Consider the following 15692-nt stretch of genomic DNA (forward strand, 5'->3'; position numbering starts at 1 on the left):
AACCCGAACAGACCAATAGCAAGTAATGAGATTGAATCAGTAACGTCTCCCAACAAAGAAAACAGTATAAAGACTTCTTAAAAAAACAAAAAGAGAAGTACCATATGATCCATCAATCCCACTACTGGGTATTTATCTAAAGAAAATGAAATTAGTATCTCAAAGGCATACCTGAACCCCCATGTTTATTGAAGCACTATTGACAATAGCAATAATATGGAATCAACCTAAGTGTCCATCAATGGGTGAATGGATAAAGAAAATGTAGTATATTTGCACAGTGGAATCCTATTCTGCCATAAAAAGAATGAAATTATGTCATTTGCAGCAACATGGATGGAACTCGAAGTCATTATGTTAAGTGAAATAAGCCCTGTACTCACTTATATGTAGGAAGTAAAAAAAATTGATTTCATGAAGGTAGAGATTAGAATGATGATTACCAGAGCCTGGGAAGGATGTGAGTGTGGGGCTTGGGGGAGGAAGAGAGGTTGGTTAATGGAAACAAACATATAGTTAGATAGAAGGAATAAGTTCTGATGTTCAGTAGTAGAGAAGGGTGACTGTAGTTAACAACAATGAATTATATGTTTCAAAATAGCTGAAAGTGAGGACTTGAAATATTCTCAACACACTGAAATGATAAATGCTCAAGGTGATGGATATCCTAAATACCCTCAGTTGATTATTGCACATTCTGTATATGTAACAAAATATTAAATGTACAACATAAATTAAAAATATTACGTATTAATAGAAAATAAAGTGATATTGATATAGCTGGTTAAACATCTACTATATTTATAACAGTTTTTTTATTCATTGCTCTTATTATTTGTTTCCTTTTTTGTTCTCCATGCTTTTTCTGCCTTCTCTGGTTTTAATTGAGCATTTTATATTATTCTATTTTTTCTTCTCTCTTAGCATGTTATATGGTTTGCTTCTTTGTACTCACCAAATCTCATGTGGAATTGTAATCCCCATTGTTGGAGGTGGGGCTGGTGGGAGGTGATTGGATCATGGGAGTGGTCCTTCATGAATGGCTTAGCACCATCCCTTTGGTGCTGTTCTCATGATAGTGAGTGAGTTATTGTGAGATCTGGTTGTTTAAAGTGTGTAGTGTGCACCTCCCCACCCCTCTCTTCCTCCTACTCCTGCTATGTGAGGATGCCTTGCTCTGTGTTTGCCATTCCCTGTGAGTAAAAGCTGCCTGAGGGCTCCCCAGAAGCAGATGCTTCTGTACAGCCTGTGGAACGGTGAGCCAATAAAACTTTTCTTATTAATTTTACCCAGTCTCTGATATTTCTTTATAACAATGTGAGAATGAACTCAAACAGCATATCAATTATATTTTCAAATTTTTAATTGTATCTCTAGAGTTTGCAAAATACATTTCTAACTAATCTAAGTCCACTTCCAAATAACACCATACCATGTCACAAGTAGTGCTGGTGCATGATAATGGAGTATTTCCAATTCCACCATTTTTTAACATTTCTGTCATTAATTTGCCTATTTATAAGCTATAATTACCAAATACATGATTGCTATTATTTTGAACAAACTGTTGCCTGTTAGATACGGAATAAGAATAATAAAATAAAATATTTTATTTTGATTTATCCCTGCTCTAACACTATTCTTTATGTGGATCCAAATTTCTGATATATATCACTTTCATTTTCTCTGAAAATCTTTTAACAGTTTTTCCAACACAGGTTGACTGGTGACAAATTCCCTGTTTTAGTTTGTCTGAGAAAGTCTTTATTTATCCATCACTTTTGAAGGATAATTTAACTGAATATCACATTCTAGGTTTGTAATTGTTTTATTTCAACACTTTAAATATTTCACCCCACTCTCTTCTTGCTTGCATGATTTTTACAGAGAAGTCTGATGAATTTCCTATTCTTGTTTATCTATAGGTGTGGTGGGTATTTCTTTTTACCCCTCTGGCTTCTTTCAAGATTTTGTCTTTAATTTTATGCAGTTAGAAAATGATATGCCTAGGTGTAGGTTTTTTGGTATTTATTCTGCTTTGTGTTCTTGGAGCTTCCTTGATTTGTAGTTTGGTGTCTGTTAATAATTTTAGAAAATTTTCCAAGCTTATTAATTAAATATTTCTACTGTTCCTTTCTTCTATTTCTGGTATTTATTATATGCATATTACTTCTTTCGTAATTGTTCCTAAACTCTTGGACATTTTTTACATTATTTTTTGTCCTTTTTTCTCTTTGAATTTCAGTTTAGGAGGTTTCTATTGACATATCTTCAAATGCATTGATTCTTTCGTTGGCTGTCAACATATTTTGATTTCTAGAGTTTCCTTTTGATTTTTTTCTTAGAGTTTCCATCTCTGGTTACCTTACTAATTTGTTGATATATGTTGTCCACTATTTTCATTGGAGCCCTTAATATATTAATCATAGTTATCTTATATTTCCAGTTTGGTAATTTCAAAATCTCTGCCATATCTGAGTCTGGTTCTGAATGTTTGCTTTGTCTCTTCAAACTGTGGGGATTTTTTGTTTTGTTTTGCTTTGCTTTGATTTTTAATATGCCTTGTTACTTTTTTGTTGAAAGCCAGATATGATGTATTGGGTAAAAGTAACTGAAGTAAATAGGCTTTTAATGTGAGATTTTATGTTTATCTGACTAAAAGTTAGACTGTGTTTACTCTTTGGTATAGCTATAGGTGTCAGAGGCTGAAATTCCCTCTAGTGTTTTTGTTCTTGTCTCCACTGTCTTGTTTGAATTTTCCTCGAGATTACTTCTTAAATAGGGCCTGAGCTTTGCAGGTTTTTTTTTTGCAAATAAAATCCCTTATTATTATACAGGAGCCTGATTGATGTTGTGGAACATATTTCAAAATTCTATGATGTCACTGCCTTTAGTGAGCTTGTGCCCCTGGTATGTTACCTTCATAAGTGTTTCTTAGCTTCCCCCATCCCTTTAGGTGAGAGGAAAGCTAGAGTAGTCATTTCCCTTCTCCCAGGTGGGCTAGGCTTTGGTAAAACCTAAGTAGTTTAGGTCATGATAAAGTGGTTTCCCTTGAGAGCAAGCTTTTAAAAAAAGAAAAGAAAAGAAACAGGATCTTGCTCTGTCACCCAGGCTGGTATACAGTGGCACAATCATAGCTCACTGCAAACTCTAACTCCAAGGTTCAAGTGATTCTCCCACCTCAGCCTCACTGGGAATACAGGTGCACACCATCAAGCCTGGCTAATTTTTTAAAATTATTATTTGTAGATATGGGGTCTTGCTATGTTTCCCAGGCTGGTCTTGAACTCCTGGCCTCAAGTGATCCTCTAGCCTTGGCTCCCAAGGCTAGAATTATAGGCATGAACCACTACACTGAGTCAACAAGCATTTTTAAAAGGAGGACAAAGTGCTCTGGGCTCATTTTAAAATGGTCACTTTTCCCTTTCCCCCTGCCAGAAGCATAAGGGAACCTTTTTCCAATCTTCACAGTAAGAACTTAGTAGCGCTTATGTAGGCAAAACTCACAAAATTGTGGGGTCCCCCTAAATATAGGTCTCATGGTGTTTTTAACTCTCAAGATAGTTCATGGTGGGTCTCCAGGAATTTATCTATTACATTATAAGTGTTTGTGGTGGTACTGGCTTTGCTCCTGGGGATCTCATTCCAGTATGCTGTGATTCTCTGCATTTGCCTTTCTCTCAACTTTCTGGGGCAGAAGTTTGCCCTGTGACTTGTTATTTGAGGGATTTAAGAAAAGTTGATAATTTTCAGTTTGTTCACTTTTTTCTTTTTGTGAGAATGAGAGGAACAATTTCCAAACTCTTTATAGTATTAATTTGTACTAATAGTACCAATCTAAATAAAATTTTGGAATATAGTGATGTCTGTCACCTGAACTGGTTACTTTCTATTGTATCAGTGTTCACTGCTACTATAACTTGCCTTTAATGTTAATATTTAGACCCCTCTGGTTACTACCCCTCCCTCACTTGCCATGGATGCATGCATATGTGCAAACTCATCAAATTGTATATATTAAATAAGTGAGTTTTTTTGTATATCTATTGTTTCAATAATCAGTTTAAAATGTATGTGGTTCTTACCCTCCCACATAATATCAATACTTGGAATGAGATACTTCTAAGGTCATATGAAATATATCCCAGGATTCCTCCCTTATAACCTCGACTCTGAAACCAGTCTCTTTAATACCTCTCTTTCACACATTCTGCAAAAACCTACTCTTGTCTTCTATTCTGGAAAACCCTCCCTTCTTTTCATTTAGTGAGAATTTTCTTAAGCATTTTTTGGATAACTTAGTCAACAGACATACTGTTGTAAGCATGAGTGTACCACCCTGCTTTGCCTTATTCTTTCTGTAATTTTCTGCAACTGTGTACATCGTGTCTCCTCATTTAAATTTTAAAGTTTAATGGAAGAAGGGACCACATCTTTTAATGTTTCTATTTCTTGTATGCCAAATATATAGCCCAGAGCCAGGCACTTACTAAATATTGGAAAAGAATCATTTATGGATTGTTATACTCTTCACGGAATTAGAAAAAACTATTTAAAAATGTATATGGAATCAAAAAAGAGCCCGAATAGCCAAGGCAATCCTAAGCAAAAAGAACAAAGCCTGAGACATCACATTACCTGACTTCAAACTATACTACAAGAATATAGTAGCCAAAATAGCATGGTACTGGTACAAAAACAGACACATAGACCAATGGAACATAATAAGCAATGCCACCAATCAACAACCATCTGATCTTTGACAAAGTTGACAAAAGCAAGCAATGAGGAAAGGACTCCCTATTAAATAAATGGTGCTGGGATTATTGGGTAGCCATACACGGAAGATTGAAACTGGACTCCTTACACCATATACAAAGATCAACTCAAGATGAATTAAATACTTAAGTGTAAAACCAAAAACTATAAAAATCCTGAAAGACAACCTAGGAAATAGCATTATAGACATAGAATCTGGCAAGGATTTCATGACAAAGATGCCAAAAGCAATTGCAACAAAAACAGAATTCGAAAAATGGGACTAATTCAATGAAGGAGCTTCTGCACAGAAAAAAAAAAAACTATCAACAGAGTAAACAGACAACCTACAGAATGGGAGAAAATATTTGCAAACTATATATCTGACAAAGGACTAATATCCAGAATCCATAAGGAACTTAAAAAAATTAAAAACAAAAAAAAAACTCCATAAAAAAGTGGGCAAAGAACATGAACAGACACTTTTCCAAAGAAGACATACATGCAGCCAAACAAGCATATGTAAAAATGCTCAACATCACTAAGCATTAGAGAAATGATAATCAAAACCACAACAAGATACCATCTCACACCATTCAGAATGGCCATTATTAAAAAGTCAAAAAATAGCAGATGTTGGTGAGGTTGCAGAGAAAGGAGAGTGCTTGTACACTGCTGGTGGGAATGTAAATTAGTTCAGTCATTGTGGAAAGCAGTTTGGCAATTTCTCAAACAACTTAAAAGAGAATTATCGTTCAACTCAGTAATCTCATTATTGGATTATTGGGTATATACCCAAGGGAATATAAATTGTTCTACCATAAAGATGCATGCATGGCTATGTTCACCACAGCAATATTCACAATAGCAAAGACATGGAATCAACTTAAATGCCCATCAGTGGTAGACTGGATAAAGAAAATGTGCTACATATACACCATGGAATAGTACACAGCAATAAAAAAAGAATGAGATCATGTTCTTTGCAGCAACATGGATGGAGCTGGAAGCCATTATCCTAAGTGAACTAACACAGGAACAGAAAACCAAATACCACATGTTCTCACTTATAAGTGGGAGCTAAATATTGAGTACATTTGAACACAAAGAAGGAAACAACAAACACCAGGGCCTACTTGAGAGTCTTGGAGGGTGGCAGGAGGGTACTATGCTTATTACCTAGGTAATAAAATAATCTGTACACCAAACCCCTGTGACAGGCAATTTATAAAACAAACCTGCACATGTACCCCTGAACCTAAAATTAAAATTAAAAATAATATATTTGCTAGAAAATTATGACTGCTCTGTTGAGTGATTTGTAGTCATAAACACCATTTTGATCTTTAATTCCAAAAAACACAAGTCACCTAGGTTTTTCAGGAGCTGATAATTAAGACACCTCATATATATTAATAGATGAACCAAGGATCATTTTTCAAATCCTCTCTCCAGATTCTTTCTGCAGCCTGTGAAGAGCTGTTTTTGGAAACTGCATTAGAAGAAGGAAAGGCTTGGTTTGGAAGAACAGGATCAGCTTTCCACCCTGTGCCTGGCAGAGGCTATGGCTGCCCTCCATGTGAAGCTTCAAATTAAAATGAAGTTGTGGTGCCTACGCAGCTTCTGGAACTACAGGGGGTTCTTCCACAGCAGGTTACACAGAGCTAAAATAATTGAGTGTGGTGTTGTTTACCAACATCAGGGAGAAAAACAGCAAAAGTCAATATAAACCATGAAAGTAGTAAATTCCCAATTTTGTCTTGGTTAGGTACATGTTGGGAGAGAAGAGAAAAAGAGAAACTACAACTTTAGTCAGGAAAAATAAAAACAATTTATAGAAAAACTAACCATAAGATGTGGTCTCCCAAATGCAGTTAAGAAAATTCTTATACTTGTCTGGTTCTGTGATGGTACATAAATGTAAAGGGCTTGAGATTTTAGTATGAGAGACTCAGATTTTAGAAACTCCATTCCACCAACCCAACTTTAAGCCCTTCCTGCTCTCAAATGGGAAGCAGAAGAGGTTAAGCCAAGCCAATCTTAAATGTCAGTAAATGTAAATACAAATATTTTTGGAGTAGCTAAAATACAATCTACCTTCAGATAATGAAATGTTTGTGTTTAATAACATACCTTTACATATGCATAGTGCTGTTTACTTTTCAAATCACTTTAACCCATTTTACCCTTACAACAAAGTTAAAGTGCGTATGGTAGTTATTTTACAGTTTCAGGATGAGTTAAATTAAGGCACCATTGAGTTAATGATTTGTAAAGACCAAGCTGGAGCTTGTTGTAATTGGGAGGCGGGTACTTAGAGCCCAGTTTTTTTCTAAGCAGTCATGTTTCCAATTTTATGCTGAGTGCCAGTAAGTCATAGGGATATTCCCTGCATTTATAACCAGGTGTCCAAAAAGAAGATGAGAATTACTTCTGCTTCTCCAATTTCCCATCTAAAATATTTCATGATTGAAAAATATATGTATTTAAGAACCTACTCCAGAGCTAAACTGCAGGGTTGTCACCATGTAGACCCATGATTTGCTCCTTCTTTGGCCAAAGGCAAGAGAAAGAAAAGAGAAGTTGACAGGGTACCCATTTTCATCTCACCCAGAAGGTAGCTGGTCGTTGTTGACAGTATAACTCTCCAAAGAAACAGGAGGCGCACTCTTCAGGAAATAACCCAAGCAATTCAGCCCCTCTGCAAAGAACATCTGTTCCTGGCCATACAAGATCCTTTGCAGCTTTAAAAAAAGCAAGGCTAGGAGAAAATGTTGCAGAGGGCTTCTCCTGTGAGGGCAGAAAGCAGAGGGACAGATGGGGAGCAGTGTCTGGAGAAATCAGGGTCATGGGGGTGTTAGCATTTTTGGGGGATTAGGGCTCAGAGCACATTACTGCATTGGACAAAAGCCAGGAGAAAAGCAGAGAGCAGGCTTCTCACTAATGTATGGAGATAGAAGGCCACTAAAAATCTTCAATTTGCTTCTCATAAGGCAACCATATTCAAGGCCCCCTTCTTTACACCTTTACCTCACTACTGTCAAAACTCTAACCTCTACCACAAAACCTATACTCCTACAGATTTTTTCCCTTAATGCCATGATGCAAAAATCCAATTAGTTTCCATGATCTTAGTTTAGAGCTTGGAACCCAGTGTTTCCTCCTTTTCACCATACAAGCCATGCTGACTTTATTTATCAAAGCCTAGTGGCATGTTAATATTTCTTTTTTTTTAATGCCAGAAATGTTTTACGATTTATTTATTTATTTATTATACTTTAAGTTTTAGGGTACATGTGCACATTGTGCAGGTTAGTTATATATGTATACATGTGCCATGCTGGTGCGCTGCACCCACTAACTCGTCATCTAGCATTAGGTATATCGCCCAATGCTATCCCTCCCCCCTCCCCCCACCCCACAACAGTCCCCAGAGTGTGATATTCCCCTTCCTGTGTCCATGTGATCTCATTGTTCAATTCCCACCTATGAGTGAGAATATGCGGTGTTTGGTTTTTTGTTCTTGCAATAGTTTACTGAGAATGATGATTTCCAATTTCATCCATGTCCCTGCAAAGGACGTGAACTCATCATTTTTTATGGCTGCATAGTATTCCATGGTGTATATGTGCCACATTTTCTTAATCCAGTCTATCATTGTTGGACATTTGGGTTGGTTCCAAGTCTTTGCTATTGTGAATAATGCTGCAGTAAACATACGTGTGCATGTGGCTTTATAGCAGCATGATTTATAGTCCTTTGGGTATATACCCAGTAATGGGATGGCTGTGTCAAATGGTATTTCTAGTTCTAGATCCCTGAGGAATCGCCACACTGACTTCCACAATGGTTGAACTAGTTTACAGTCCCACCAACAGTGTAAAAGTGTTCCTATTTCTCCACATCCTCTCCAGCACCTGTTGTTTCCTGACTTTTTAATGATTGCCATTCTAACTGGTGTGAGATGGTATCTCATTGTGGTTTTGATTTGCATTTCTCTGATGGCCAGTGATGATGGGCAGTTTTTCATGTGTTTTAGCTAGCAGAAGGCAAGAAATAACTAAAATCAGAGCAGAACTGAAGGAAATAGAGACACAAAAAACCCTTCAAAAAATTAATGAATCCAGGAGCTGGTTTTTTTGAAAGGATCAACAAAATTGATAGACCGCTAGCAAGACTAATAAAGAAAAAAAGAGAGAAGAATCAAATAGACGCAATAATATTTCTTTTTGCCAAGTGAATTATTCACTTCTTTTCTTTTCCATCTTATCTTCATGTCAAGAGCCACTTTTTGTGTTTTCTTGTAGAAGGTCCCACCCACACATACACCCAGCCAGGATTCTCCACGCCCATCATCAGAGACCTGTGTGAGCTGTGTGACCATCTGTAGTCTTGGCATGGCTGCTTTCTCCCCAAATCAAGCCAATTCAGCCAAGAATACCGTCTTTATTTCAGGCTTCTCAAAGAGCATCTTGGAGAAAAAGAAGTTGAATTGGCACTCATCTTTGACTCAGTTGTGGAAGCTGACCTGGCGAATTATACCTGCCATGTTGAAAACCGAAATGGACGGAAACATGCCAGTGTTTTGCTGCGTAAAAAGGGTATTTATTTTTATAACTATAACTATGGTTTGCTTAGCTATCAACAACTATTGAAGTTAGAGATATTTCCTGGCTTTATTTTATCATGTAGTGTAAACCTTTATTAACCATTTTGTCTTTTCAAGGAAAGATATTTCTCTTGCTCTGCATATTAGCATAAAATACCTATGATCTTCAATACCATTAGGAAGTGGATAAATGAAATGAAGTATTGTCATATGTTAAATCCAGTGATATAAATTGTACCTTAGTTATAAGTGTTACATAAAATTTGATATATATTTGACATTCAATATTTTCTCCACATTTTGCCTTCTTATATCTTATATTGCTTAAATGAAATGCAAGAGATTTTATTATTGGATGAGAAACACAGTTGCTTTTTTATTCCCTGACTAAAAAATAAAAAAATAATAATCCCATATAATATGCTTACAATTGTTATCATAAAAATTATAAACCATATTTTATGATATGACTTGGTATTAAGAGATCTTTATCAGGTGCATATATTTCTAAATATTTTGGCATCCCTTTCTCAAGTTGGTTCCAGACGGGGTGGAAATTGTATATAATGAACAAAGAAAAGAAACTCTAAATTTACATATAAAGGAGATAAAAAACAGATATACGAACAACAAACAATCTCAGCAGCTAGAGTAGCTTCTGAATTGGCTCTTACCTTGCTATGGCTTTTGATTGCTACAAAAGGGTAAATACTTTTTGTATATGTACATCCGGCAAAGGCTTTGCAAATGTAGCAGAACAAATGTTCTCAATCAGTGTTCTTGTTGCCCACGTTTTAGAGCAATAATAGAACAGATTCAATCAGCAAGGTCACTTAGTTGTACTTCCTGGCCAGGATGGAATTTATATTTTCCAGCCAGCCCTAATACTTGACAATGACAAGCAGCTCTTGAAGAAGCAGAGAGGAATCATTATTCTGAAAATAAGGCGTTTATATCTCTAGCACCACTTCGTACTCCATTAGACTTGATTTTATCTTAAAATAAAGGCATATTTAAGTGTAAAGAAGTCTAAAAGAGAAAGTAAAGTCAGAAGACCCAGATTCAGGAGATCCTGGTTCAGTAGGACTGACTTGTCTTATTAGACTCCCTAAACCTTAGTTTTCTTATCTTTAAAATAGGATTAATAATACCTACCTTGCAGAGTCACTTTGAGGTTCAAATAATAATGATATAATGGGTGTGAAATATGCCATGACCAAACAGTCTTTATTATTATACTGAACTTGGATAATTTATCCTAGGTAACCACTTAGGAACCACATGAAGGGCAGGTATTGATCATGCCCAAACACCTTGTGGCAAGGATCACTTTGTTTCTGTTCATCTCAGTCTTATTTCGGGCTTAGAGATCCTCCAATCAGAGCCTGCTGCTATACCTCTGTATCCTCAGAGATATCAACTTGAGCAGTGTCTAGCTAGTAATAAGCACTTAGAACCCATTCTGGTCAAATAAATGGCTAATTTTTTCTTTTATTAATGAAGACTTAGCTATAGCCAGCACTATGATAGGTGCTGGGGAATAGAATGCTGAATAAGATAGACATACCCAGGTCTTCTTGGAGCTTATACTCTTTGGAGGAGTGAGAATGCAAAGAAAGACCAAGATTAAACATTTTTTAAAATTCCGCAAAAGATACATAGTGTTATAATTAAAAACCTGCTATGAGGAAAAATAATGGGGGGTGTCTTATCAATCAGCCCATGTGGACAGAAATAACCTTATTTGAGTTTTAAAATAAATCCATTTCTCTTTAATAAGTAAAGCAACACAAGGCAGCCCCTAAAAATTTCTAAAAATTTGACACTACAAACCAAGACACACTGTAATACTCTGCTACCACCCAAGGCTTCTACAAGAAAACTGGTCTAAGTCATGTTAACTGACAATGTTAATTCTCATCTTCCAAATATTTAAATATTGGAGTTCCCCAGGGTTCAGGTCCCCTCTTCTCACTCATTCAGTAGGTGATTTCATTCTATCTCCATCTCATGGTTTTGCTTACCACTTATATGCTAACTACTCCCAAATTTATATCTAGCCTGGACTTCTCACCTGTATACTCAATTGCCTACTAAACAACTCTTCTTAGAGATCTAGCAGGCATATCAAATTTAGCTTGTCCCAAACAGGATTCCTAATTTCTCCTGCCTACAAACCTGATCCTCCAGTCCCCTTCTCCATCTCCATCACCATTGTTCTAGTTGCTCATGCCAAAATCTTTGGAGTCATTCTTCACTTTCTCTTTTTTCTACTCACATCCTATATCTACTCCACTAGCAAATCCCATGGCTTAACTTTCAAAGCCTATTTAGACTCTGAACACTTTTCCCACCTTCACTACCCACATCCTCTTCTGAGCCACCAGCACCAATTACCTGGATCATGGTAACAGCCTAACTGGTCTCCCTGCTTCCACCCTTTTCCTCTCACAGTCTATTCTTATCACAACAGTCAGAAGGATCATTTAAATATGTAAGTAAGGTCATGTTATTCCCCTGATCAGAACCCTCCATTCACAGTTCCTTCCCTTTCCACTAAGAATGAAATCCCAAAACTTTATCATGTCCTATAAGGCACTACACAATCTGTTCTTACATCTGATCTCATTTTCTACCACAATTTTCCTCATACATTATAACACTAGCCTGCTTTCTGTTTCTCATGTTCACCAAACACAGTCCTGCCTCAGGTCCTTTGCACTTGCTGTTTCATCTGTCTGGAACACTCTTGCCTCCAGCTGTCTCCATGACTCCCTCCTTCCCTTCATACAGATTTCTACTTAAATGTTACCTTCTTCATAGGTATTTTCTGTCCATCCTATATAAAATGATATTACCTTTCATTTTCTTTTTCTTCTAACCTGTCTCTACTTATTTTTGCTTTGTCTATTACTATTGGATATTATATTACATATTTGTTTGCTTCTTGTTTTCTTCCCCCCCACTAAAATATGGAATACTGGAGAACAGGAACTTTTCTTGCTGTATTTACTGCTGTATCTCTAGTGCATAAAACATAATAAGTGCTCAAAACTATTTCTTGAATGAAAATTCTCCTCATAGAGGACAAGCACAATCAGGTGAGCAATAGATAACAGGGATTGATAAAAAGAAGATTTGATCTGTGATTTTGTCATGACTAATGTCTTCCCTGAATTAGCTAAATGCATTTTTTCTTTTCAAGTATTGTTTACTTTCCAGGGTTCGCAAACTCAAAAGACCTCAGGTCCCAGGAAAATACTGAATTTTTTAAGAAGAGGGCTGGATATTAGACAAAATCAAAACATAGACCAGAGAAAACATGCCTTGCTTTAAAAGGGCAACAACTACTTTGTTCTATAAGATTACTGCTGTTTTTGCTGGAATATATGCCCAGGGATATGAGAGCTTTGAAGTTTTCAAGTGAAGCTGAAAGACTGGATATGATGTCTTTTAATTTTTAAATATTAGTATTCATTTTTGAAACATTGTGTGATCCAACAAAACCAATTTTTTGGCCCATAGTATACCAGTTTGTACTCTCCGTTCTAGGTAGCAGTTAAATGATTTCATTGTGCTTTACAAAAGTATGCAGTTAATCTTCCCTCACTTGGTCTCCTTAGGAGCTTCTGACAATATAGTGGAAGCCCAAGAAAGAGCAAGAATCCTTATGGAACTGTCATAATTTTTTTAAGTCAGAACAAGCTCTGGCTTGTTTTGAGAAACTTAAGATATTTCCTTTGGAGTTGGACCTTTTAAGCTTTATCACATCATAGCCTGGCCTCATTGGCAGTAGTATTCCTACTTGGAATACTAGTATGGCTTGTTTTATGGAACAATAACTTCTTGATGAGCTGTAAGTCAAATATTTAAAATGCCTTAAGTGATCATCATGGAGAAGAAACATGATGCATCCTTTCATTAAGTGAAAAGGGCTTTTGTAAAATGAAAACTCACATCTAATATATCCAATTAACAGGATCAAGTTTTGTAACCTATCCATCTTCTTACCTATCTGTCTTCTGTCTGCACCTACCACTTCCTTATTCTCAGGTGAACAATTTGCCAGTAAGTGCAACTAGCATTTCAGTAAGAAGTTCATCCTAAATTTTTTCTTTGGTGAGCCAAGAGTCTGAACTTAGGTTCAAGAAATTCTGATAATTATTTCTGTTTCTCTGCACATACTTCCTTTCTCATAAAACAGGGGCATATCATTGAATCTCTCTCTCTTCATTCTCAGTGCTGCTGCTTCACTCTGTCCCACCATACCTGAATAGAAAACTTTCTAAGCCTACTCAGGATGCTATAACAAAACACCTTAGACTGGGTAATTTTTAAACATTACAAATTTAGTGCTCACAATCCTAGAGGCCGGGATGTCCAAGATCAAGGCACCAGCAGATTCATGTCTGGTAGGGGCCTGTTCCTCATTTTTGTCTGAGATATCAGAATGGCCTTCACCATTCATATTTCTACTAATATTCTGATCACGACTATTTAGGCAATCTCTAAGATGACTGAGGAATTCTCTACAGCTCTCTTCTTCCAAGCCCTCACCAGAATTGCCCTTAAGGCTCTTTTCATGGCAATATACCTCAAATCTCTTCTACCCTCTATCCATTACCCAGTTCCAAAGCTGGTTCCACAACTTTAGGTATTTGTTACAGCAGCACCCCACTTCTCAGTACCAATTTCTGTCTTAGTCCATTTGGGCTGCTATAACAAGATACCTTAGACTGGATAGTATATAAACAACAGAAATTGATTGTTCACAGTTCTGGAGGCTAGGAAGACCAAGATCAAGGTACTAACAGATTTGGTATCTGGTAAGGACCCATTTTGCATAGATGGCACTTTCTTTGTGTCCTCACATGGCAGTAGCAGCAAACAGGTTTCCTCAGGCATCTCTTATAACAGGCCCCATTTATGAAAGTTCTACCCTCATGATCTAATCACCTCTCACATGCTTCCCTCGTTTTTTATTTTTTATTTTTTTAGAAACAGGGCAGGGTCTCAGTCTGTTGCCCAGGCTGAAATGCAGTGGCTCAGTCATAGCACACTGCAGCCTCAAACTCCTGAGCCCAAGTAATTCTCCCACCTCAGCCTCCAGAGTAGCTGGGACTACAGACACACCACCATGCCCGACTAATTGTTTAAATTTTTTGTAGAGACAGGGCTTCACTTTGTTGACCTGGTTGGTCACAAACTCCTGGCTTCAAGCGACCCTCCTGCCCCGGCCTCCCCAAGTGTTGGGATTACAGGCTTGAGCCACTGTGTCTGGCCAGGCCTCCCTCTTATATAATCACCTTGGGGGTTAGGTTACAACATATGCATTTTGAACAAACATTCAGACCATGACAGAAGCCCTCAGGTGGGATCTCCTAACCTGCTTCCCAACTTGTGAGTCAGAGGAGCAAGCTCAAACATTCCCTGCATTCCCTCTCTCCAGTCCCTTGGCTTCAGTTGCTATTTGTCCCATTCTATAATGTCTGATCTTTGTGTTCACAGTGAAGAAATAGGTGGGTTCAAACTAAGAAGGTAAAAAGAGCTACACATGTACTTTGGGTGCCTAGAAAAAGTTACAAGCCCATAAATATTTGCTGTTCTTGCTACAGCTCTCTTTGTGAAGCATATACAAGACACAGCCCAACTAAAATAACTTTCCATTTTTTAGTCAGTAAATGTCCCTAGAAGTATAGATCCTGCTGAGATTGAAAATTGCAATTGAAAATAGAAGACAAAAGAAAATCCAGGTGTCATTAGGGTGATGGCAATTCTGCCCTCTGATTATAGGATAGATGTTTCCCTTTTGATGTGACTGCCTGGGCTGAATCAAAGAATCTGGTTGAGTCTCTGGGCCTAGGTTCACAGTTTTCAACTTGAACAGCCATCATTACATAATATCTTTCAAAGACATTTTTATAAAATGGACCCCAAAATCACAAAGGTACTTTTTTCACCATGGTTTTCTTCCATAAATTTACTGCTGAAAAAATATCTGCTACTTGAGAGCACAAATTGTTCCTGCTGCTGAAGTTTTCCATCTACCTAATAGCAACTCTACTCTGTAAATAACATAGAAATTGCTGAAAAACTTCCCATTCCACGACTTTTAAAACATTTGAAAGCTCTTCTGACCAGAGAGAGAGACAGAAAGACCAAAAAATTTATAGCATAAAGTGAACATCTTAAAACAGGAAAAACCTTTTGAATCAAGTCAATTAATGCCCCAAGATGAAAGAGAAGTCAGTTTTCAGAGTAACAAAGAAAACTGTATTGCTCTATTTAAAATTGGCTTTTAATAATGTATAATTGATGGTGTATA

The 15692-nt window shown here is 36.9% G+C and overlaps 1 protein-coding gene and 1 long non-coding RNA gene across 5 annotated transcripts in view; one reads left to right on the top strand and one right to left on the bottom strand.

Annotated features, from left to right (window-relative positions):
- The window catches only part of IL1RAPL2 (interleukin 1 receptor accessory protein like 2), a 1201631-nt gene that overhangs the window by 1165134 nt on the left and 20805 nt on the right, over positions 1 to 15692 (top strand). For both annotated transcript variants that reach the window (NM_017416.2, XM_011530905.3), the window contains one exon: positions 9214 to 9359. In NM_017416.2, the coding sequence (NP_059112.1) occupies positions 9214 to 9359 (146 nt within the window). The remainder of the gene's footprint in view (positions 1 to 9213; positions 9360 to 15692) is intronic.
- Positions 1 to 15692, bottom strand: part of LOC105373303 (uncharacterized) — a 135721-nt gene that overhangs the window by 69701 nt on the left and 50328 nt on the right. The window lies entirely within an intron of this gene.

The sequence above is a fragment of the Homo sapiens genome, chromosome X, assembly GCF_000001405.40.
Source record: "Homo sapiens chromosome X, GRCh38.p14 Primary Assembly".
Lineage (NCBI taxonomy): Eukaryota > Metazoa > Chordata > Mammalia > Primates > Hominidae > Homo > Homo sapiens.